General features: G+C 55.8%; 1 protein-coding gene and 1 long non-coding RNA gene across 11 annotated transcripts in view, besides 4 other annotated features; both read left to right on the top strand.

Annotated features, from left to right (window-relative positions):
• The window catches only part of BDH1 (3-hydroxybutyrate dehydrogenase 1), a 63,561-nt gene extending 49,847 nt beyond the window's left edge, over positions 1–13,714 (top strand). For all 10 annotated transcript variants that reach the window (NM_203315.3, XM_047448679.1, XM_047448680.1 and 7 more), the window contains 3 exons: positions 716–857; positions 9,081–9,233; positions 11,133–13,714. In NM_203315.3, the coding sequence (NP_976060.1) occupies positions 716–857; positions 9,081–9,233; positions 11,133–11,602 (765 nt within the window). In that variant the 3' untranslated portion in view covers positions 11,603–13,714. The remainder of the gene's footprint in view (positions 1–715; positions 858–9,080; positions 9,234–11,132) is intronic.
• Positions 1,274–1,979: an enhancer, noted in NCBI's record as "H3K4me1 hESC enhancer chr3:197248389-197249094 (GRCh37/hg19 assembly coordinates)". NCBI's record gives its function as "activates a minimal SCP1, AML or CMV promoter by ChIP-STARR-seq in naive H9 embryonic stem cells {active_cell/tissue: H9 hESC(naive)}" and the evidence as "EXISTENCE:reporter gene assay evidence [ECO:0000049][PMID:30033119]".
• Positions 1,980–2,685: an enhancer, noted in NCBI's record as "H3K4me1 hESC enhancer chr3:197247683-197248388 (GRCh37/hg19 assembly coordinates)". NCBI's record gives its function as "activates a minimal SCP1, AML or CMV promoter by ChIP-STARR-seq in primed H9 embryonic stem cells {active_cell/tissue: H9 hESC(primed)}" and the evidence as "EXISTENCE:reporter gene assay evidence [ECO:0000049][PMID:30033119]".
• Positions 11,208–11,745: an enhancer, noted in NCBI's record as "H3K27ac-H3K4me1 hESC enhancer chr3:197238623-197239160 (GRCh37/hg19 assembly coordinates)". NCBI's record gives its function as "activates a minimal SCP1, AML or CMV promoter by ChIP-STARR-seq in primed H9 embryonic stem cells {active_cell/tissue: H9 hESC(primed)}" and the evidence as "EXISTENCE:reporter gene assay evidence [ECO:0000049][PMID:30033119]".
• A 121-nt stretch (positions 13,715–13,835) lies between the features above and the next one.
• LINC02012 (long intergenic non-protein coding RNA 2012) lies at positions 13,836–18,235 on the top strand. The gene has a single exon (NR_145451.1). It is a non-coding gene; the product is annotated as a long intergenic non-protein coding RNA 2012 (long non-coding RNA).
• Positions 15,005–15,299: a silencer, noted in NCBI's record as "tiled region #5776; HepG2 Repressive non-DNase unmatched - State 8:EnhW". NCBI's record gives its function as "represses a minimal TATA promoter and a strong SV40 promoter by Sharpr-MPRA in HepG2 cells {active_cell/tissue: HepG2}" and the evidence as "EXISTENCE:reporter gene assay evidence [ECO:0000049][PMID:27701403]".

The following is an 18,235-nucleotide window of genomic DNA, read 5'->3' as shown; positions in this document are numbered from 1 at the left end:
CCATTTCCTTACTCCATTAATCTGAGCAGGTCAGGACAGGTGGTGATGTTCCTGTTTTACAGCCAGAAAAAATGGACCCCTGTTCAGGGACACCCCTGAGTGCACAAAGCCTACTCAGTGACTGAGCTGGGATTAGAGGCTGGCTCTGGCCTCTTACCAATTTGGAGTTGATGGGCCCTTGGCTTAGAACAGAGGTGGCAAACTGGCAGCCTGCTGGTCCTATGTGGCCTGTGGACGTGCTTTGGCCTTCACAGTGTTTTTTTGTTTTTTTTTTTAAATGTGTGTAAGTTGCCAACACTTAAAAGAATGAAGAGATTTCCCAATTACTAGCTTAAAAATGTAAGCATCTGGCAACCCTGGGTTTCCATCCCCACGTGGTAATTCCTGACATGTCCTGTACTCCCCAGGGCCCCCGCCTGCCCCACATAAGTTTGCAACCCCTGCTTGGAGAAGGAATCCTGTCTTGAGGCCTTGGGGGCCGGCTCTTCATCCTATTCATGGTTGTGTCTGTGGCACATAGCTTGATGCTTGATAGGTCATCAGTGCTCAGGATTAAAAAGAACCGCATGCTGGTGGGCCAGGCCCATGGGCAGTTGCCAGTATGCCTGAGGCTTTGGCTGGGACTTGAGGCCAGCTCCTGCCTTGACAGGAGTCCTCAGGGTCTGCCTCAGGGTGGGAAGGAAGGAGGTAGAAGCAGCTCTTCTCTCCTCCCCAGGACAAAGGCCATGATGGGGTCAAGGAGCTGGACAGCCTAAACAGTGACCGATTGAGAACCGTCCAGCTCAATGTCTGCAGCAGCGAAGAGGTGGAGAAAGTGGTGGAGATTGTCCGCTCGAGCCTGAAGGACCCTGAGAAAGGTAGGGCGCCCCTTCGGACGGCAGGGGTTGTGTATGGGGCCATTCCAAGGGGCACTTGCCGAACACCACCTTCCACTGGCTGGCATCCTGCCACCACACTCCCTTCCTTATTGTTTAGGCTCTTCCTCCTGCACAGTAGGAGGAAGAGGATTACACTAAACATACACGTGCAATAGGGCAATGGAAAAATACAGTCAGGAGGTGATTTCAGAGTTCACGGAGTGCTAGGTGGCTACGCACTGATTCAGGTCAGTTCAGCCAATGCCCATTGATGCCCCCTCTGGCCCAGGAGCTGGGTTGGGTGCCAGGGACACAAAGATGGTCAAGGCACATTCTGTCCCCAGGACCTCATAGTTCAGCCGGAGGACTGAGTTCAAAATCAGGGAGCCGTGCATTGAGAGAGGCAGAGCAGCACAGGAAGGAGGGGTCAGTCCAGCCATGGGGGCGCAGTGGAAATAGGCCAGTTAAGGCAGATTGTGGCAGAGAGCAGATATGGTTGTTCCAAGAGGAGGGGAGAGCAGGAACCACAGCTTCGAGGAGCACGGGGAGGGTAGCGGGGGCTGTTGGTCAAGTGGTGGGATTAGCCGGCACCTCAATATGAGTCATGGGTCAGGTCACGCAGAGGGGGTGGCAGCAAAGGAGGTTGGGGAGGGAGGTCTTGGATCCCAGGCGAGGGAACATGGCTGGTCTCCCAATGGCACTGGGGAGCCACTGAAGGGGTCATCCTGAGGGAATGGCCTGGTCATTGTGAGACTTGTGAATCTCCCTCTGAGGATGGCAGTGGCAATGTGAAGGTGGATTCAAAGCGGGAGTTAAACATGGGTTCTGGACTCCGGAACTAGGGTGGTAGGTGTTGGGAAACAGGAAGGGTCAGGTGCGAGGAGTGTTGAGAAGGCGAAGCTGCCTGGACTTGGTGACTTGGATGTGGGGATGAGGTGAGGCGCGAAGTCTCTGTCCTGGACACCTGGTGCCCCGCACTGCAGGAGCAGGTGGGGAGATAGGGAGACACTGAAGCGCCCACCCTGAGGGAATGTCCAGGCTAGAAGAGCAGGTGCCCACGGCAGGTGACACTGGGAGTCGGGGAGATGCACAGAGGGACCCCTGGGAATGTGAGTGTTCGGGGATCAGAGGAGGGGGAGAGGCAGCTGTCAGAGAGGTTGGATACAGTTCCCCAGAGGCTAAACAACAGAAAGTTTGGAGGAGAGGGCAGTACCAGTAGCCAACAGGGTCAAAAGCTACAGAAAGTTCCAGTAGCATAAGGACTAAAATATCCTTCCAGTTCAGCCAGTGGAGGGCCTTGTGGGAGGAGCTCTGTCTGCAACCTCGGGGTGCCATTCATGTAGAATACAGCAGTGGGGGATGGAGCTCCCTGGAGCCGGGCCGCCCAGCAGCATCTGGAGAAGCGAATCTATGAAGTTTACCTTTGAGCTCCCTGACAGCCCAGGCAGAAAGGGTGTGCGTCATTCAGGCCTCTGCTTTCCCTCAGAATGGGGTGGGGCAGCTCTCAGGAGCAGCTACTTCAGTGGCTGGGGAAGGAGGCGGAAAAGGCAGGAGTGACCAGATCCCATGCGGGGAGCTCTGCTGAGCCTGTATCAGCCAGATGGATGTGCTGTCTGTCACAGCAGCTGCCTCAGAGGCTGCGTGTGTGGCTGTCGGTGATGCCGCTCCTCTGCCTGTCTCTGATGTGCCACCTCATCAGCCCACTGTCGCTCCCATCCTCCCAACAGGCCATTCACAGGCCTCTCTGTTCTCTGTTCTCGCTGAACATCTGTTTAATAATTAACAGGCAGAGCCAGCCCATTAAGAAAAGGCAGGATGGGTCCCGCTGGGGTGATTACCGGCTCAGAACCTGCAGCCTGCTTCGCCCTTCCCTGGCGGTAAATTCTCCTCCCTCCCACCTTCCCTGGGCAGCTGCTATATTTTCCTTCATAAACTACTGGGCAGGAAAACAGCTGCATCGGCACCATAAAGCCACTTGATTATAGCGTGGGTTTTGTGGTGATCTAAAATGCCCGTGGAAAGGCGTCATCACCGGAGACCCAAGCAGAGAACGCACCAGGCCGGCTTGCTCAGGCTGGCGGTCCTCGTCCCCTGCCCCCCTGACTCTGGGGCAGAATCACTTCCATTGTCTGTACTGGACTGGCCAGGCAGCCTAACCTACAAGGCAGGGTGGGCCCCGGCCCACACAGAGGGGAGGCACTCACCCCCTGCCCGGGGATCTGGGCTCCAACCCCAGCACCAGCCTGACGCGCAGACCTTTCCCTGCTGCTTTTCCCACGCCGGGCATTCCGGAGGGCTGGATGAACCTCTCACCATCAACTTCCTTAACCGATACTGCATTTTTTTTTTTTGGAAAAGGATTTGAAGACTTTTAGGTCTGAAGAAAACAGTACATCCGTCAGATATGCAGTGGCGTGTCCCCCATCTCCTGCTCTCGCTTTCTTCCCGTCTCCCTCTCCTCCCTCTCCCTGCTTCCCCTCCACACTCTGCCACTCTGCCATGTCTTGGCCTTGCCTTGGCAATTCCCCCTCAGGCAATGCCGGCTGTGAACTCCAGGGAGCACCCTCCCAGAGCGTTCCGACCCGCAGTGGCCGCCACCGACCCACACCCCATGCAGGACATGTCAGAAGGGTCCTCTTCCCCTTCTCCACCGGGGGGGCACATTTGGTTGGCGAGTTTGACGCCCTGCAGCCTGGCTCTGTGGAACAGTTGCTGCCAAAGCCCGGGGAGCCAGCCACGGGGGCGAGATGAAGGAGATTGTCTGGTGAGAGCCACAGAGCCATCTGCCACCGGCCCCGACCCCCGCAGGACGCTGAGGGACAGGACATCTGGAGCCTGGGACCAGCCCTCCCTGTCCCCACCCCAGGGGACACCGAGCCAGTGGGCCCGAGAGCAGGCCGTGGGCATGGCCTGATCTTGGCACATCACTTACCAGTCAGTCAGTCAACATTAATTAATTAATTAATTAATTTTTTTGAGACAGAGTCTTACTCTGCCGCCCAGGCTGGAGTGCAATGGTGCGATCTCGGCTCACTGAAACCTCCACATCCCGGGTTCAAGTGATTCTCCTGTCTCAGCCTCCCGAGGAGCTGGGATTACAGGCGCCTGCCACCATGCCCAGCTAATTTTTTTTTTTTTTTTAGTAAAGAAGGGGTTTCACAAGGTTGGCCAGGCTGGTCTCAAACTCCTGACCTCAGGTGATCCACCTGCCTTGGACTCCCAAAGTGCTGGGATTATAGGCCTGAGCCACCACGCCTGACCTGGGCTTCACTTATTAGAAATGTGATCTTGGGCTTGCACCTGCCCCCTGTGTGGGTCTCAGCTTGCCCATCTGTGAAGTGGGAGAGTGCTCTGAGCCGTCCAGCACTCATGCCTGGATCAGACCACTACAAGAGCATGGGAAGAATTTCAACACAAGCTGCTCGCAGGCTGACAGGCAGCAGAACATATGTGGAGGAGTAAGGGAGAAGCTTGGAAAAGGCCTGGCCTACCATGCTGTGGGATGGAGACCACAGAGCAGGAAGTGACTGATGGGGGGATCCACCTGAGGAGGGGATGGAGACCATAGAGCAGGAAGTGACTGATGGGGGGTGCCTGAGCGGGGGATGGAGACCATAGAGCAGGAAGTGACTGATTGGGGGGTCGGCCTGAGGGGGGATGGAGACCATAGAGCAGGAAGTGACTGAGGGGGGGATGGAGACCATAGAGCAGGAAGTGACTGATGGGGCGGGGAGGTCAGCCTGAGGGGGGATGGAGACCATAGAGCAGGAAGTGACTGATGAGGGGGGTCGGCCTGAGGAGGGGATGGAGACCATAGAGCAGGAAGTGACTGATGGGGGGGGTCGGCCTGAGGAGGGGATGGAGTCCATAGAGCAGGAAGTGACTGATGGGGGGGGGTCGGCCTGAGGGGGGATGGAGTCCATAGAGCAGGAAGTGACTGATGGGGGGGGTCAGCCTGAGGGGGGATGGAGACCATAGAGCAGGAAGTGACTGATGGGGGGGGTCGGCCTGAGGGGGGATGGAGACCATAGAGCAGGAAGTGACTGATTGGGGGGGTCAGCCTGAGGGGGAGATGGAGACCATAGAGCAGGAAGTGACTGATCGGGGGGGTCGGCCTGAGGGGGGGATGGAGACCATAGAGCAGGAAGTGACTGATCGGGGGGGTCAGCCTGAGGGGGAGATGGAGACCATAGAGCAGGAAGTGACTGATCGGGGAGGTCGGCCTGAGGGGGGGATGGAGTCCATAGAGCAGGAAGTGACTGATGGGGGGGGTCGGCCTGAGGGGGGATGGAGACCATAGAGCAGGAAGTGACTGATGGGGGGGGGTCGGCCTGAGGGGAGATGGAGACCATAGAGCAGGAAGTGACTGATTGGGGGGGGTCAGCCTGAGGGGGAGATGGAGACCATAGAGCAGGAAGTGACTGATTGGGGGGGTCAGCCTGAGGGGGAGATGGAGACCATAGAGCAGGAAGTGACTGATGGGGGGCGGTCGGCCTGAGGGGGGATGGAGACCATAGAGCAGGAAGTGACTGATTGGGGGGGGTCAGCCTGATGAGGAGATGGAGACCATAGAGCAGGAAGTGACTGATGGGGGGGGTCAGCCTGAGGGGGAGATGGAGACCATAGAGCAGGAAGTGACTGATTGGGGGGGTCAGCCTGAGGGGGAGATGGAGACCATAGAGCAGGAAGTGACTGATTGGGGGGGGTCAGCCTGAGGGGGAGATGGAGACCATAGAGCAGGAAGTGACTGATGGGGGGGGTCAGCCTGAGGGGGAGATGGAGACCATAGAGCAGGAAGTGACTGATTGGGGGGGTCAGCCTGAGGGGGAGATGGAGACCATAGAGCAGGAAGTGACTGATGGGGGGGTCGGCCTGAAGGGGGATGGAGACCATAGAGCAGGAAATGACTGATGAGGGGGTTGGCCTGAGGGGGGATGGAGACCATAGAGCAGGAAGTGACTGATGGGGGGGTCGGCCTGAAGGGGGATGGAGACCATAGAGCAGGAAGTGACTGATTGGGGGGGTCGGCCTGAGGGGGGATGGAGACCATAGAGCAGGAAGTGACTGATGGGGGGGTCGGCCTGAAGGGGGATGGAGACCATAGAGCAGGAAGTGACTGATGGGGGGGTCGGCCTGAAGGGGGATTGAGACCATAGAGCAGGAAATGACTGATGAGGGGGTCGGCCTGAGGGGGGATGGAGACCATAGAGCAGGAAATGACTGATGGGGTGGGGGGGTCAGCCTGAGGAGGGGATGGAGACATACAGCAGGAAGTGACTGATGGGGTCGGCCTGAGGGGGGGATGGAGACCATAGAGCAGGAAATGACTGATGCGGGGGTCGGCCTGAGGGGGGGATGGAGACCATAGAGCAGGAAATGACTGATGCGGGGGTCGGCCTGAGGGGGGATGGAGACCATAGAGCAGGAAGTGACTGATGGGTCTGCCTGAGGGGTGGGGTGAAGACGGAGGTGGAGGAGTGAGTGAGACAAACAGACCCAGGAGGCTTCTCCAGCAGCCCAGGAGACAGGCAGCGAGGACCCAAGGGAATGCTAGTGGAAACAGGAAGGAAGAACTGACCCAGCAGAGGAAACCAGCAACAGCCTGGGGCGTGGGGACTTTGTCCTCAGAGAGATCTGGGTCCAAATCCCACCCTCCCTGCCTGTTAGCTGGGTGACATTGACCAAGGTGCTTAACCTCTCTGAGCTTCAGTTGCCTCAACCGGATATGAGACAATTTAGGATCTATTTTCCAGGGTGGTTGTGAGGATCAGGGAAGTTAATGAATGTAAAGGGCTTGATTAGGGGTCTGCCAGCTGTCATGTTGATCTTGAGCTGTAATATTAGCAGTACTGGGTGACTCAGTAGGTGGGGGAGGGGTGGAGGAGCTGGAGGAGTCACAGACAAAAGTAAAATCATTAACAAAGAGGAGGAGCAGGCTTGGGCAGCTTGGAAACTTGACGTGTTGGTTGTGGTTAGGGTGAGTCAGGGACCCGTGGGACATTCAGGTGGAAGCGAGACAGGAGATGGGATGAGGAGAGAGAGCCGTGACTCCCAAGGAGAACTGAGGGGCCACTGGTGCGGAGGCGATCTTGGGGATGTTACAGGAAAGTTGCTGTCACCCAACCAGCGGGCATGCCTCCGTGAGTTTATTCAGAACATTGGCTGAGGATTCCAGATGGCAACTAGGTCCACCACTCTCAACACTCATTAAAGCTGTAATCCAGGGGCTGTGCACTTTCACAGGTCATGTTTCATTAAACTTTTTTGGATAGTAGCGTCAAATGTCATTGTTTTATTTTTAGGTAGAGAAAGGGCTGTATGCATTTTAAGTCATGGGATATTGTCCGTTATGAATCAAACACAAAACGGCTGCAAAATTCACAAACATGAAGAAGATGAGGACACCTAAGAGTTAAGTGTACTTTGAGAGGAGCAGGATTAGGCCAGGACATTGGGGGCCACTTGTATCTGGGGGCAGGTGAAAGAAAGGTGTCAGGGAAGATGCAGGAGATGCCTGGGTATCACTAATGCTGAGGGAGAGGTGAGCCTCAAGGAGTACTGGCAGTACTCATATCGTAGCGAGCCTGAGGAGAGTGAAGACTGGGGGTGAGGTCCTTGGTGTACCACCCTGGAGACCCTGGAGACTGCGTGGTCAGGACAGCTGAGGGCTGGGACCCAGTGTGGTATGGAAGGGAGATGGAGAGGATAGAGCGCGCGCGCGCGCGTGTGTGTGTGTGTGTGTGTGTGCGTGCTCTGTCACCCAGGCTGGAGTGCCGTGGCATGATCCGGCTCATTGCAACCTCTGCCTCCTGGGTTCAAGAGATTTTCCTGCCTCAGCCTCCCGAGTAGCTGGGACTACAGGTGCCCGCCACCACACCCGGCTAATCTTTGTATTACAGGATAGAGTTCTTGGAAGCCTGGCGTGGAGGGAGGGAGAGCAGGTAGCACAGTTACAGAAGGATCTTCGGGATATGGAAATGCGGTATTTGTGGACACTCATTCATCTAACACACATTTGTTGAGCTCCTAATGTGTATAGAACTGAAGGGATGGAGTCATGGGCAGTGGAAAAGCTGAAATTGTGTAAAAGAGAGAGAAGGATCAGTGGCTATGGTCTCGAAGATGACGTGGAAGTGTCAGCCATGACGGGTGGGGAGTGGCCTGCTGCTCCTCCTGGGAAGAGAAGAAGGTGAAGACTCAGGGCGCGTCTGCAGGGAGACAGTGGGAGCTGTGGGGTCGTGGATGACGCTGATCCTGTCATTAGCATCTGAGCGAGGTCACAGGTGAGACCTAGAGCAGGGAGACACCCGCAAGGCTTTGGTGGAGAGTGGGAGTGAGCTCTTCATGGACACTCTGTTAACCAGCAATTTCCTTTCCCTAATAAATGCCCTTAATTCTCCATAATTGAAGGAGAAGGCACCAGAGGGCAGTGAATGAAGCTTTAATTTGGGTAACACGGAAGGAAAGCAGCTAGAGACCAATTACTCTGTCATTTACACAAACTCATTTCCATGATTAACTTGGAAAATAAAGCAGCGCCGAGTTCCCACAGGCAGGGGAGGGCCCCAGGATGGGAGCTCTGCTCTGAGGCTGTGCCTTGGGAAGGAGCACGGGGCTATCGGCCCGGGAGACCAAACACTGAGGGTTTCCACAACAAAGAGGCAGGGCCCAGCTCTGTCCTGAGGCTCTGACCCATCCAGCCTTTGCACCCCAACAAACTGAACTCAGAGAGGTCCCTGCAAAACACAGCTGCCTCCTCGTGCCCACCTCCCCTGTGATTTCCCTGGCTTCTGGCAAGAGAAGAGAAGACGTGAGCAAAAGCTCAAGGGCAGAGATGAGTAAACAGGAACGGGGCGTGAAACTCAAACTCAGGGTGTGGGGATGGGATGGGGTGGAGTGGAGTGGAAGTGGGAATTTGAGGTGAGGTGAGACTGAAGGCCGGGGGACACGGCAGGCTGGGTCATGATGGGCCCAGAGACTCGAGCCAGGCAGATGTGACGTGAGGACTGGACATTCTAGACGCAAGGGAGGGCTGCAGTCAGCACTTTAGGCCTCTTTACCTCCTGTCGTTCCTGAGTGACTCTAGAAAGTTTCTTGAGAGCACTGGGCGAGAGGCTGGGAAGTCACAGGAAAGAAGCAGAGAGGAGGCTGGCCTGCAGGCTGATGGGCAATGTCTGGGCCAAGCCCATGTGGTAAATGCACATCTATCCCTCTCCTGTCCAGGCATGTGGGGCCTCGTTAACAATGCCGGCATCTCAACGTTCGGGGAGGTGGAGTTCACCAGCCTGGAGACCTACAAGCAGGTGGCAGAAGTGAACCTTTGGGGCACAGTGCGGATGACGAAATCCTTTCTCCCCCTCATCCGAAGGGCCAAAGGTGAGTGGGAAAGGGAGCTCCCTCCTGCCCCTGAACCTGCCCCACGTGTTCATCTTTGCTCAGAATGGAAATACCTGTCCCAGCAGCTCCAATGTCCACAACTCAGCAGAGGTGAGCTCGTGAATCCCAGGGACTATGCTGGGCCTGGGGTGATGGTGGGCAGAGGGGCTGTGGCCGGGTAGGGGAGGAGGAAGCAGAGCAGGTAAGAGGTCAGTGGTCCATGCAGCAAAAGCTTAAAGAGTTGAGCAGCCATCCACTCTGCACACCTAATCTATAGAGAGAATCACCCTTTGCACAAAGCTGTGTGTACACATCTTTGTATCAGTCAGGTGTGGTTAGTAAAATCTGGCATATTCATTCTATGGGTTATTTATATCGTAGTTTAAAAAATGAGATCATTGTGGTATTAGGGAACAATAGTAAAAATCAAGATTAGAAATTTGGAAAACCAACAAAACACCCAAACCATGTGGGTGGCCAAATGTGAGCAAACCACTTTAGAAGTCATTGACTTGGATTTTTTTCTCTGGCATAGCAAACAATTGTGGCAAAAAGGGTAAGATCCATACATCTATGGTGAAGTCCTAGCAACAACAAGCATGAACACAGACTGCAGCTGTAGGATTTTAGATGGAAACCCCAACCCTTCAGTGACTTCAAATTTAGAGCTTTCTGAAAGGTGCCTCCCCCAGGATGGGCTGAGTTCCCTCCCGGGGACACACCTGGATGGGCTGAGTGCCCTCCCGGGGACACACCTGGATGGGCTGAGTGCCCTCCCGGGGGCACACCTGGATGGGCTGAGTGCCCTCCCGGGGGCACACCTGGATGGGCTGAGGGCCCTCCCGGGGGCACACCTGGATGGGCTGAGTGCCCTCCCGGGGGCACACCTGGATGGGCTGAGTGCCCTCCCGGGGACACACCTGGATGGGCTGAGTGCCCTCCCCGGGACACACCTGGATGGGCTGAGTTCCCTCCCAGGAAAACTGGTCCCAGATCCGCCTCGGCTTCCCGGGCTGGGCCAAATGCAATCCACTTCCAACCCCTCTGTTCCCAGGGCCAGGAGGAGCTGTGGGAGGCCCCTGATGCCCCCAGGCTGGGCCTGTGGCCTTTGGAGGGGGATCACCACACTCTCCCAGTGCCCAGGACTCTCTCCTCATATCCTAGCCCTGAAGTCAGGTTCAGAAATCCTGCCCCTGCCCCTGCCTGCTGCTCTGTTTGCCAGGCGGTCCTGGTCTCCACCCAGGCTCCACCCTACCAGGGTGGAATGGAGTTGGGGAGTTGGGCCTAACAGCACGGGTCCTGTCCTCTTTCAGGGCTGTCCCGGGGCTCCCTCCCAGCTGCAGCCCCAGGTACTTCCTCGTCTGCACTCCAACCCCCATCGCCAGGGCTGCTGTCAGTGGCTAGACACTTGGCCCTAGTGTGCTACTTATCTGCACGTCGTACTACTGGAGCTGGACTTTAAGCTCCATAAGGGGAAGGGGAAGCTTTCAGGCTGTATTTCTCCCTCACCAGCACCAGACCTTGCCTATAGTGAAAGCTCAGATCCACACAGACAGCTGTCTCGCCTCCCACTTCTCCCCTCGTGTTTTCACCCCAAATTATCACCGCATCGGGCTTGATCTGGTTTTTGAGTCAGTTGCGTGTTGCCCATTACACTGTGCCCTGCTGCTTCTCACTCACTTGTCCTCCCCTGTCCTGCCTGGCACAGCCAGGTTCCCAGGGAAGACCAGGGGTGCCGATGCTGATGCGTGGGCCTGAGCTGGCCTTGCCTATTGACTGAGAAGGCTCCTGGGTGGCTCAGAAGTGGTTCCAGCCAAGCCTCTAGAGACATGCCAGACTTCTGCCCGCTGTGTCATAGGGCAGTAACGGCTTAGCAGGTACCTCTGTCTCCCTCTGTAGGCCGCGTCGTCAATATCAGCAGCATGCTGGGCCGCATGGCCAACCCGGCCCGCTCCCCGTACTGCATCACCAAGTTCGGGGTAGAGGCTTTCTCGGACTGCCTGCGCTATGAGATGTACCCCCTGGGCGTGAAGGTCAGCGTGGTGGAGCCCGGCAACTTCATCGCTGCCACCAGCCTTTACAGCCCTGAGAGCATTCAGGCCATCGCCAAGAAGATGTGGGAGGAGCTGCCTGAGGTCGTGCGCAAGGACTACGGCAAGAAGTACTTTGATGAAAAGATCGCCAAGATGGAGACCTACTGCAGCAGTGGCTCCACAGACACGTCCCCTGTCATCGATGCTGTCACACACGCCCTGACCGCCACCACCCCCTACACCCGCTACCACCCCATGGACTACTACTGGTGGCTGCGAATGCAGATCATGACCCACTTGCCTGGAGCCATCTCCGACATGATCTACATCCGCTGAAGAGTCTCGCTGTGGCCTCTGTCAGGGATCCCTGGTGGAAGGGGAGGGGAGGGAGGAACCCATATAGTCAACTCTTGATTATCCACGTGTGGATTATCCACCATGCCAGGAAGACCCATAACTGGTTTTAACACTAACTAGAGGGAATGACTTCTTTGCATAGTGAGTGACTTGGGCCTTCACAAACAGGGTGTGGAGTGGCAGGCAGAGGCCTCTAAATCTCAGGGCAAACATGGTGAATCTATCTCTCCGGAGATAATTTCATACAGAGATTTTAAGAAAACATCTTTATATTAAAAACAGATCTCATTTGATCCTTAAGCCAGTCTCATGAATGAAAAGGACAGGTTTTTTTCTTTTGTAAATGAAGCATTTGCAGCTTAAAGAGGATGCATGAAATAACCCTTTTATCGCTTATAAATAGTGCCAGTTATGTGTTCCTGCCACGGCTGTGGAAATACTTCACATTTGCATTCCAGGACTGTTTTGGATCCATTTGCCCGAGAATCTTCTGACTAACTCTGTGTCCTCATCTGGGCAGCACACACCAAGTGCCCACTGGTACCTCTGCATGTCCATGGTGCTGTGTGACTGGCCAGCCAGCAGCCAGTGACTCAGAGCTGGCTGTATGGAGGGGGTGGGAATGTTTCTGGAGATTTTTGTTTTTCCAGACACAGTCTTGCTCAGTCCCCTAGGCTGGAGTGCAATGGCACCATCTCCGCTCACTGCAACCTCCGCCTCCCTGGTTCAAGCGGTTCTCCTGCCTCAGCCTTCCAAGTAGCTGGGGTTATAGGCACCCACCACCATGCCGGGCTAATTTTTGTATTTTTAGTAGAGATGGGGTTTCACCATGTTGGCTAGGCTGGTCCCGAACTCCCGACTTCAAGTGATCCGCCTGCCTTGGCCTCCCAAAGTGCTGGGATTACAGGCATGAGATTTTTACTTGAGATTTTTCCATCCTCTTTTAGGACTCAGGATAGACTTGTGTGGAGGTGCTCTCTGGCTAAGGGGATAAGTTGTTACTGGTTTGGGTCTGCTTGGTTTTGCCTTGGGTGGGGCCGGTGTCGATGGGGCAGGCTTGGCACGAGCAGTGGTGCCATGGCAGGGCACTGTGGCATCTCCCCTAGCAGTGGATTTGGGGTCCCTGCTTGCCTCACGTGGTGCTTACACACATGTACACACACACACACACACACACACACACACACACCTTACACACATGTACACACACACACACACACACACACACACACACACACACACACACACACACACACACACACACACACACACACCCCTGTTCTGCAGGGCTTCAGCGTGGCCTTCATTCCCGCCTCGCCTCGGCCTCTTTTCAATTAAGAAGTGATGCCACTTGAGGCAGGGTCTGCATGATCACTTCTTGGGTTTCAGTTTGAAAGCTGCCATCCCTGCGACTGCCCAGGGCCTGTATGTTGGGACCGAAGCCAAACACCACTGTCCTCCAGGGGGCTTTCGGCCCGGGGCAGGGTCCCCAGTGCCCGCCTTCGAATCAGACTCCGCGTTTCCGCCTCTCCCTGGGCGGACCTGCCGCTAGAGGGCGCTCCTCCTCCGCAGCCGGCGCCGGCCTCCAGCGCCCCAGACTCCCGCGCTGCCGCCCGAGCCTGAGGTTTCTCACGGCGTTCGGGATTCGCGCTTCGGAAACCGGGAACAAAGAAGCAAGCAGCACCCTTCAGAAACAGTGTTCTCGCTCTCCTAGCAGCTGGCCCGGGCCCGGAGGCTGGTGCCAGGAGAAGGCAGAAGAGCCCGGGCAGCCGGAGTGGGCTACGGGGTTCAGGCAGTGCCAAGGAAGAAGGGCCTCACAATGGGCAATTCAGCTGCCTCCCGGGCCGTTGTCCCCGCTGTCTTCAAACAGGGGTCCCCTGTCCCAGCTGCCCCAGGAGGAGGGGGGGAGGCAGGCAGGGCCGAAACCCTCCAGAGCCCAGAGGGGGACGCTTGGTGGCCGCTGCAGTTACATAACCATAGGATGCTTTTGTACCGTGGACCTTGTTCTAGCAGGATCCTTTCGGAATTGCACTTTTACATGTTGGGCGAATTTGTGTCCGTGCTGAAGTTTATTAAAGGAAAATAGATGGAGCCTTGGAGTTGCACGTGTGCGTCCCTGCCTGGGAACTAGAGGAAGGAGGGCCACATACTCTGGGTCCCCATCAGCAGACCCGAACGTCAGAGAAGCTGCATGTGCGTCTACTGGGATCTTCTGAGTAAGCTAGAACTGCTGGGCCGGCCTGTGCAGGTTGTTCTGGCTTTTAATCGTTTCCAGTGATTGAAAAGCCCAGGCTACCATCCCTCCAAATAACTCCAGTGCTAACTCAAACCTCATATTCACCATTCACTTTCCGGCAGCTTAGAACCTACCGGGGCGCAGGACGTAGTTTTCGTCTTTACCAGAGTGCGTGGCCGGGCGCGGTGGCTCACACCTGTCATCCCAGCATTTTGGGAGGCCCAGGCGGTCGGATCGCCTGAGGTCAGGAGTTCAAGACCAGCCTGGCCAACGTGGTGAAACCCTGTCTCTACTAAAAGCACAAAAATTAGCCAGGCGTGGTGGTGGGCGCCTGTAACCCCAGCTACTCGGGAGGGTGAGGCAGGGAGAATCGACTGAACCCAGAGGCAGAGGTTGTAGTGAGCCGAGATCATGCCACTGCACTCCAGCCTGGGCAACAGAGTGAGGCTCTGTCTCAAAAAACAAAACAACAACAACAAAACAAAAAAAGAGTGAGAGGACAAAACAGGTGTATATTCCCATTTTATAGATGACATAACTGAGGCCCAAAGAAGGAAAGTGACTCACTCAGTGTCACAGTAAATCCACGGCAGGACCAGGGCCAGAACAAAAGTCTCCTGAGTGGCACTCTTCACTATCACATAACACTGTGGCTCGCAACAGCCCTGGAAGCAAAGCCAGTTGGGGTCACCAGGCACCTAGACCCTCACTGCTTGTCTGCTGGCAGAGAGCCGCTCCTTCTTGTCAGAGTAAGTAGGAAGGAGGCCTTTGCCTGTGCGGACCTATGGTCTGGTGACTCCAGCCAGCACAAACCCATCCCCTGATGGTTGGAGGCTGGGCAAGGGCTTCTTGCAAGATGCGCCTGACAGTGCCTTGTTACAGAGCACCTGCTGTGCTTAGCATTCCACCCGGGGCCAAGAGGCTGTGTGAGCAGGTGACAGCCAGCCTGGCCCCGCCTGTCACAAGCTGCTAGGTCTGCACCCTTGCCACCCATGGCAGGGGGTCTGACAAAGACTCCCCATTTGTGAGGTCTGTTCACTGCCTGTATTTCGAACAGGGCCTGGCTCTGCAAACCTGTGCAAACTGTGTTGATATAGGAGCCGACATGAGCAAGCAGAGGCTCCCCTGGCTCAGGCAGCCCCAGGTTGGGTTGGCCAGACAGCAACCAGGCACAGGGGCCAAGTGCAGGTCCTGCTACCCAGCCACCACAGCTTCCTCTCACCTGATTCTCACAGCAACCCAGGCAGGATAGGCAGGGTGGGGTTATCTTATTTTGCAGAAACAGGCTTTCCCAAGTCTGTCACCAAGTGAGGGGTAGAGCTGGGTGTCCAGCCAGATCTAACCTCCAGCCCAGAGCTGGTGATGCGGAAAATCAGGGCAGATGGCAGCAGGATCTAAAATAGGGAGGGAAGAAGTCCTCAGTTACGTAACAGCGAGGAGACTCTCAGCCTACGCACAGTAGCAACCATGGGGTCCTGCCACTCGAGCCAGACCCTCCTTCCCTTCCCGTTTTGGGCTCTAAGTGCTGCCCCCTGTGAGAGAATGTGCTGGAGGAGCCCCCAGTATCCTTCCAGCGGGAAGTCGGCTCTGTCAAGGCCATTCCCGAGAGCAGGCTCTAGGAATTCAAAGACCAAGCAGGCAGAGCTGGATTCTGGAGCTGCCCTCAAAGGGCTTGAGGGTTATATGAGCGCCGTGCTTGAGAAGTTAGTGATGATTTCTGCTCAAAGAGACAGAGCAAGAGGGCTGAGGGGCTCTGGTGCTCTGGGGGAGATGAAACAACCCCACAGTATATGAGGCCTCTCTGGTGTGTGCGGGCACTAAGGAAGGGTGACTTGCGAGTGGCGCATTCGGAGGCACGGGGTGGGCAGCTGTTGAGCAAGGGACCAGGGCTGGGACAGGCTGCCAGGACCCCCACAACCCCAGGGGAGGAAAGGGGACTCAGCCATCATCATGCCTGACTCCCAGGCTCCCGGATGAGGAGCCTGCTAGCCAGGGCTTGAAGCCCTCCAGTGACAGGGGGTGCATTACTTCCTAAGAAGCCATTTCCTTGGTTCAGAAACGTTTATCCAAAGACTGAGCCGAAATCTACCACCTCACTTAATGTTTTTGGCACCTGGTTATGACCCAGACCTGCACAGAATAATTTAACTCTTCTGAAATAGACTTCCAGATATTTGGAAGTGGCCAAGTCAGGTTTAAGAGCTCAGGTCTCCCATTTGACAAGATTTCCATCTCCTCGCTGTCTGAACAGGTTTCAGCTGTGGTTATCCAATCCCTCATTCTTGATGACACACACCAGGCTGAATGGTCTTTAGAGTTCCCCTCAAGCCGCCAAGCGCTCTGAGACAGGTTTACTAGCTTTGGTGAGATGCTGACACTCCTCACATGCACGTGCCCCTCCCAACTACTCAAGTGAGTTCGTGGCAAATCTCTCATCTGATCTGCATAAACGGATTATATCTTAGGCGGTGCCATTGTCTGCATTTTACAAATAAGGAAACTGAGCCTCAGGGAGGTGAAGTCATTTGCCCAAAATCACAGAGCCAGGAAACGAGAGAGCCAAGATCCAGACCCCGCAAGATCCAGACCCCACAAGATCCAGACCCCGCAAGATCCAGACCCCTCAAGATATAGACCCTGCAAGATCCAGACCTCACAAGATCCAGACCCCACAAGATCCAGACCTCGGCTATCTGGCTTCTCTTTTTTTTGCGACAGAGTCTCAATCTGTCACCCAGGCTGGAGCGCAGTGGTGTGATCTCAGCTCACTGCAACCTCTGCCTCCCAGGTTCAAGCAATTCTCCTGCCTCAGCCTCCCGAGTAGCTGGGATCACAGGTGTGCGCCATGCCTGGCTAAATTTTTTTTTTTTTTTTTGTATTTTTAGTAGAGATGGGGTTTCGCTATGTTGGCCAAGCTGGTCTCGAACCCCTGACCTCAGGTGATCCACCTGCCTCGACCTCTCAGAGTGCTGGGATTACAGGCGTGAGCCACTGCACCCAGCCCCATCTGACTTCTATACCCGCAGCCCCTTCCTTTACCCTCAGGCTGCCTCAGTCTCCACACTGGGGCCCAGAGCTGGGCTGGACTCAGCGCAGTCAGAACCTCGCCTTGCACGTGGCGAAGGAGCGGCAGGCAGGCAGGCAGGCAGGCAGGCAAGCAGGACAGCCAGCTTCCTCCTAGTCCGCAGTTTCGCGGAGCAGCCTGGAAAGGGAGGCCCAGGCTTCCCTGTCTCGTCGCACGTGTGTCTGCAGTGTCTGTGCTATCTCCCAGGGGCCTGGATGTCGATGGAATGCCTGAGGGTGGAGAGAGCTGTGGCTGAGGCCTACCCTGGCGGCCTCAGCATCTGTGGAGATGTGTAGAGACAGGGAGAGTGAATGGGGACCAACCTCAGGAGATGCTGGGTCCCAGAAGCACCATGTGCTTCTCCTTTGGTGAGACTTAATTACTCTCTAAAATGTAAGGCTACTCCCACTTATCAAATTATAGATGAGTTTAATTACAGCACACTGAGTAACCACACTGGGCTCCTTCAGAAATAGCAGCAGGCTGGTTGCTCTTCTCAGCTTCAGCTGTAGCCACCCCAGTTTCAGGAGGAAGTGCCCGTGGTTCCTGGGGCCTGGAAGTGCCGCTCAACTCTGCTGCCAGACAAGTGCGGGCGTGGTGGACTGCACTGGGTACACTGCTGTACCGGCCACCACCCTCCGGCCACTCTCAGCCGGTGAGTGCTCTGCGGGGCCATCTGGCCACGTGTTCTGTGACTGGGTCATTTACTCTGCTGCAACCTCTCTTTCTCCTACCTACATCGTGTTCTGGATAAAGGTTTTGGCTCATAATGTCCGACCAGAGGTGGACAAAGTGGTGTGGGACCTGCCGTAAGAAACAGGGAGCATGGTGCGGGGAGAGAAGCCTGTGCCTTATGGAGACTCGGGGCACCTTCAGGAAGCAGGGTCAACAGCAGCAGGCCGCTAGGGAGTCGGGAGAGCTCGGTGATGTCACGAGGGGCATCAGACTCTTCCCTGCAGGCTGGCGGGACTGATGGGCTCTCGTTCCAATGGAGGTACAATGGGACTTCCGGGGCTGTGATGGGAAGGGCGGAGGAGCTGCCGATGGTCCCAGTGCCATATTAGTGTCACATTCTGAGGGGCAGCCCTGTGCCGGACGGCAGCTGCTACCTCTCCCTCTGCCCCTTTATTACTTGAATCTCTTCGTTGTGCCCTGTCTAGGCACGGTCGTCCGACAGCAGGCAGCCCACTGCCCTCCCAGAGCTCACTGTCTAGCCCAGGGTGACACAGGGTAACCGTGGGCATGACTTGGGCCGGGAAGTGAGAGGCTCGATTCCATCACATGTAAATAAAAATACTCATTTTCAATCTAA

This window comes from Homo sapiens, chromosome 3 (genome assembly GCF_000001405.40).
Source record: "Homo sapiens chromosome 3, GRCh38.p14 Primary Assembly".
Taxonomy (NCBI): Eukaryota; Metazoa; Chordata; class Mammalia; order Primates; family Hominidae; genus Homo; species Homo sapiens.
This window is presented reverse-complemented; position numbering and strand designations above follow the sequence as displayed.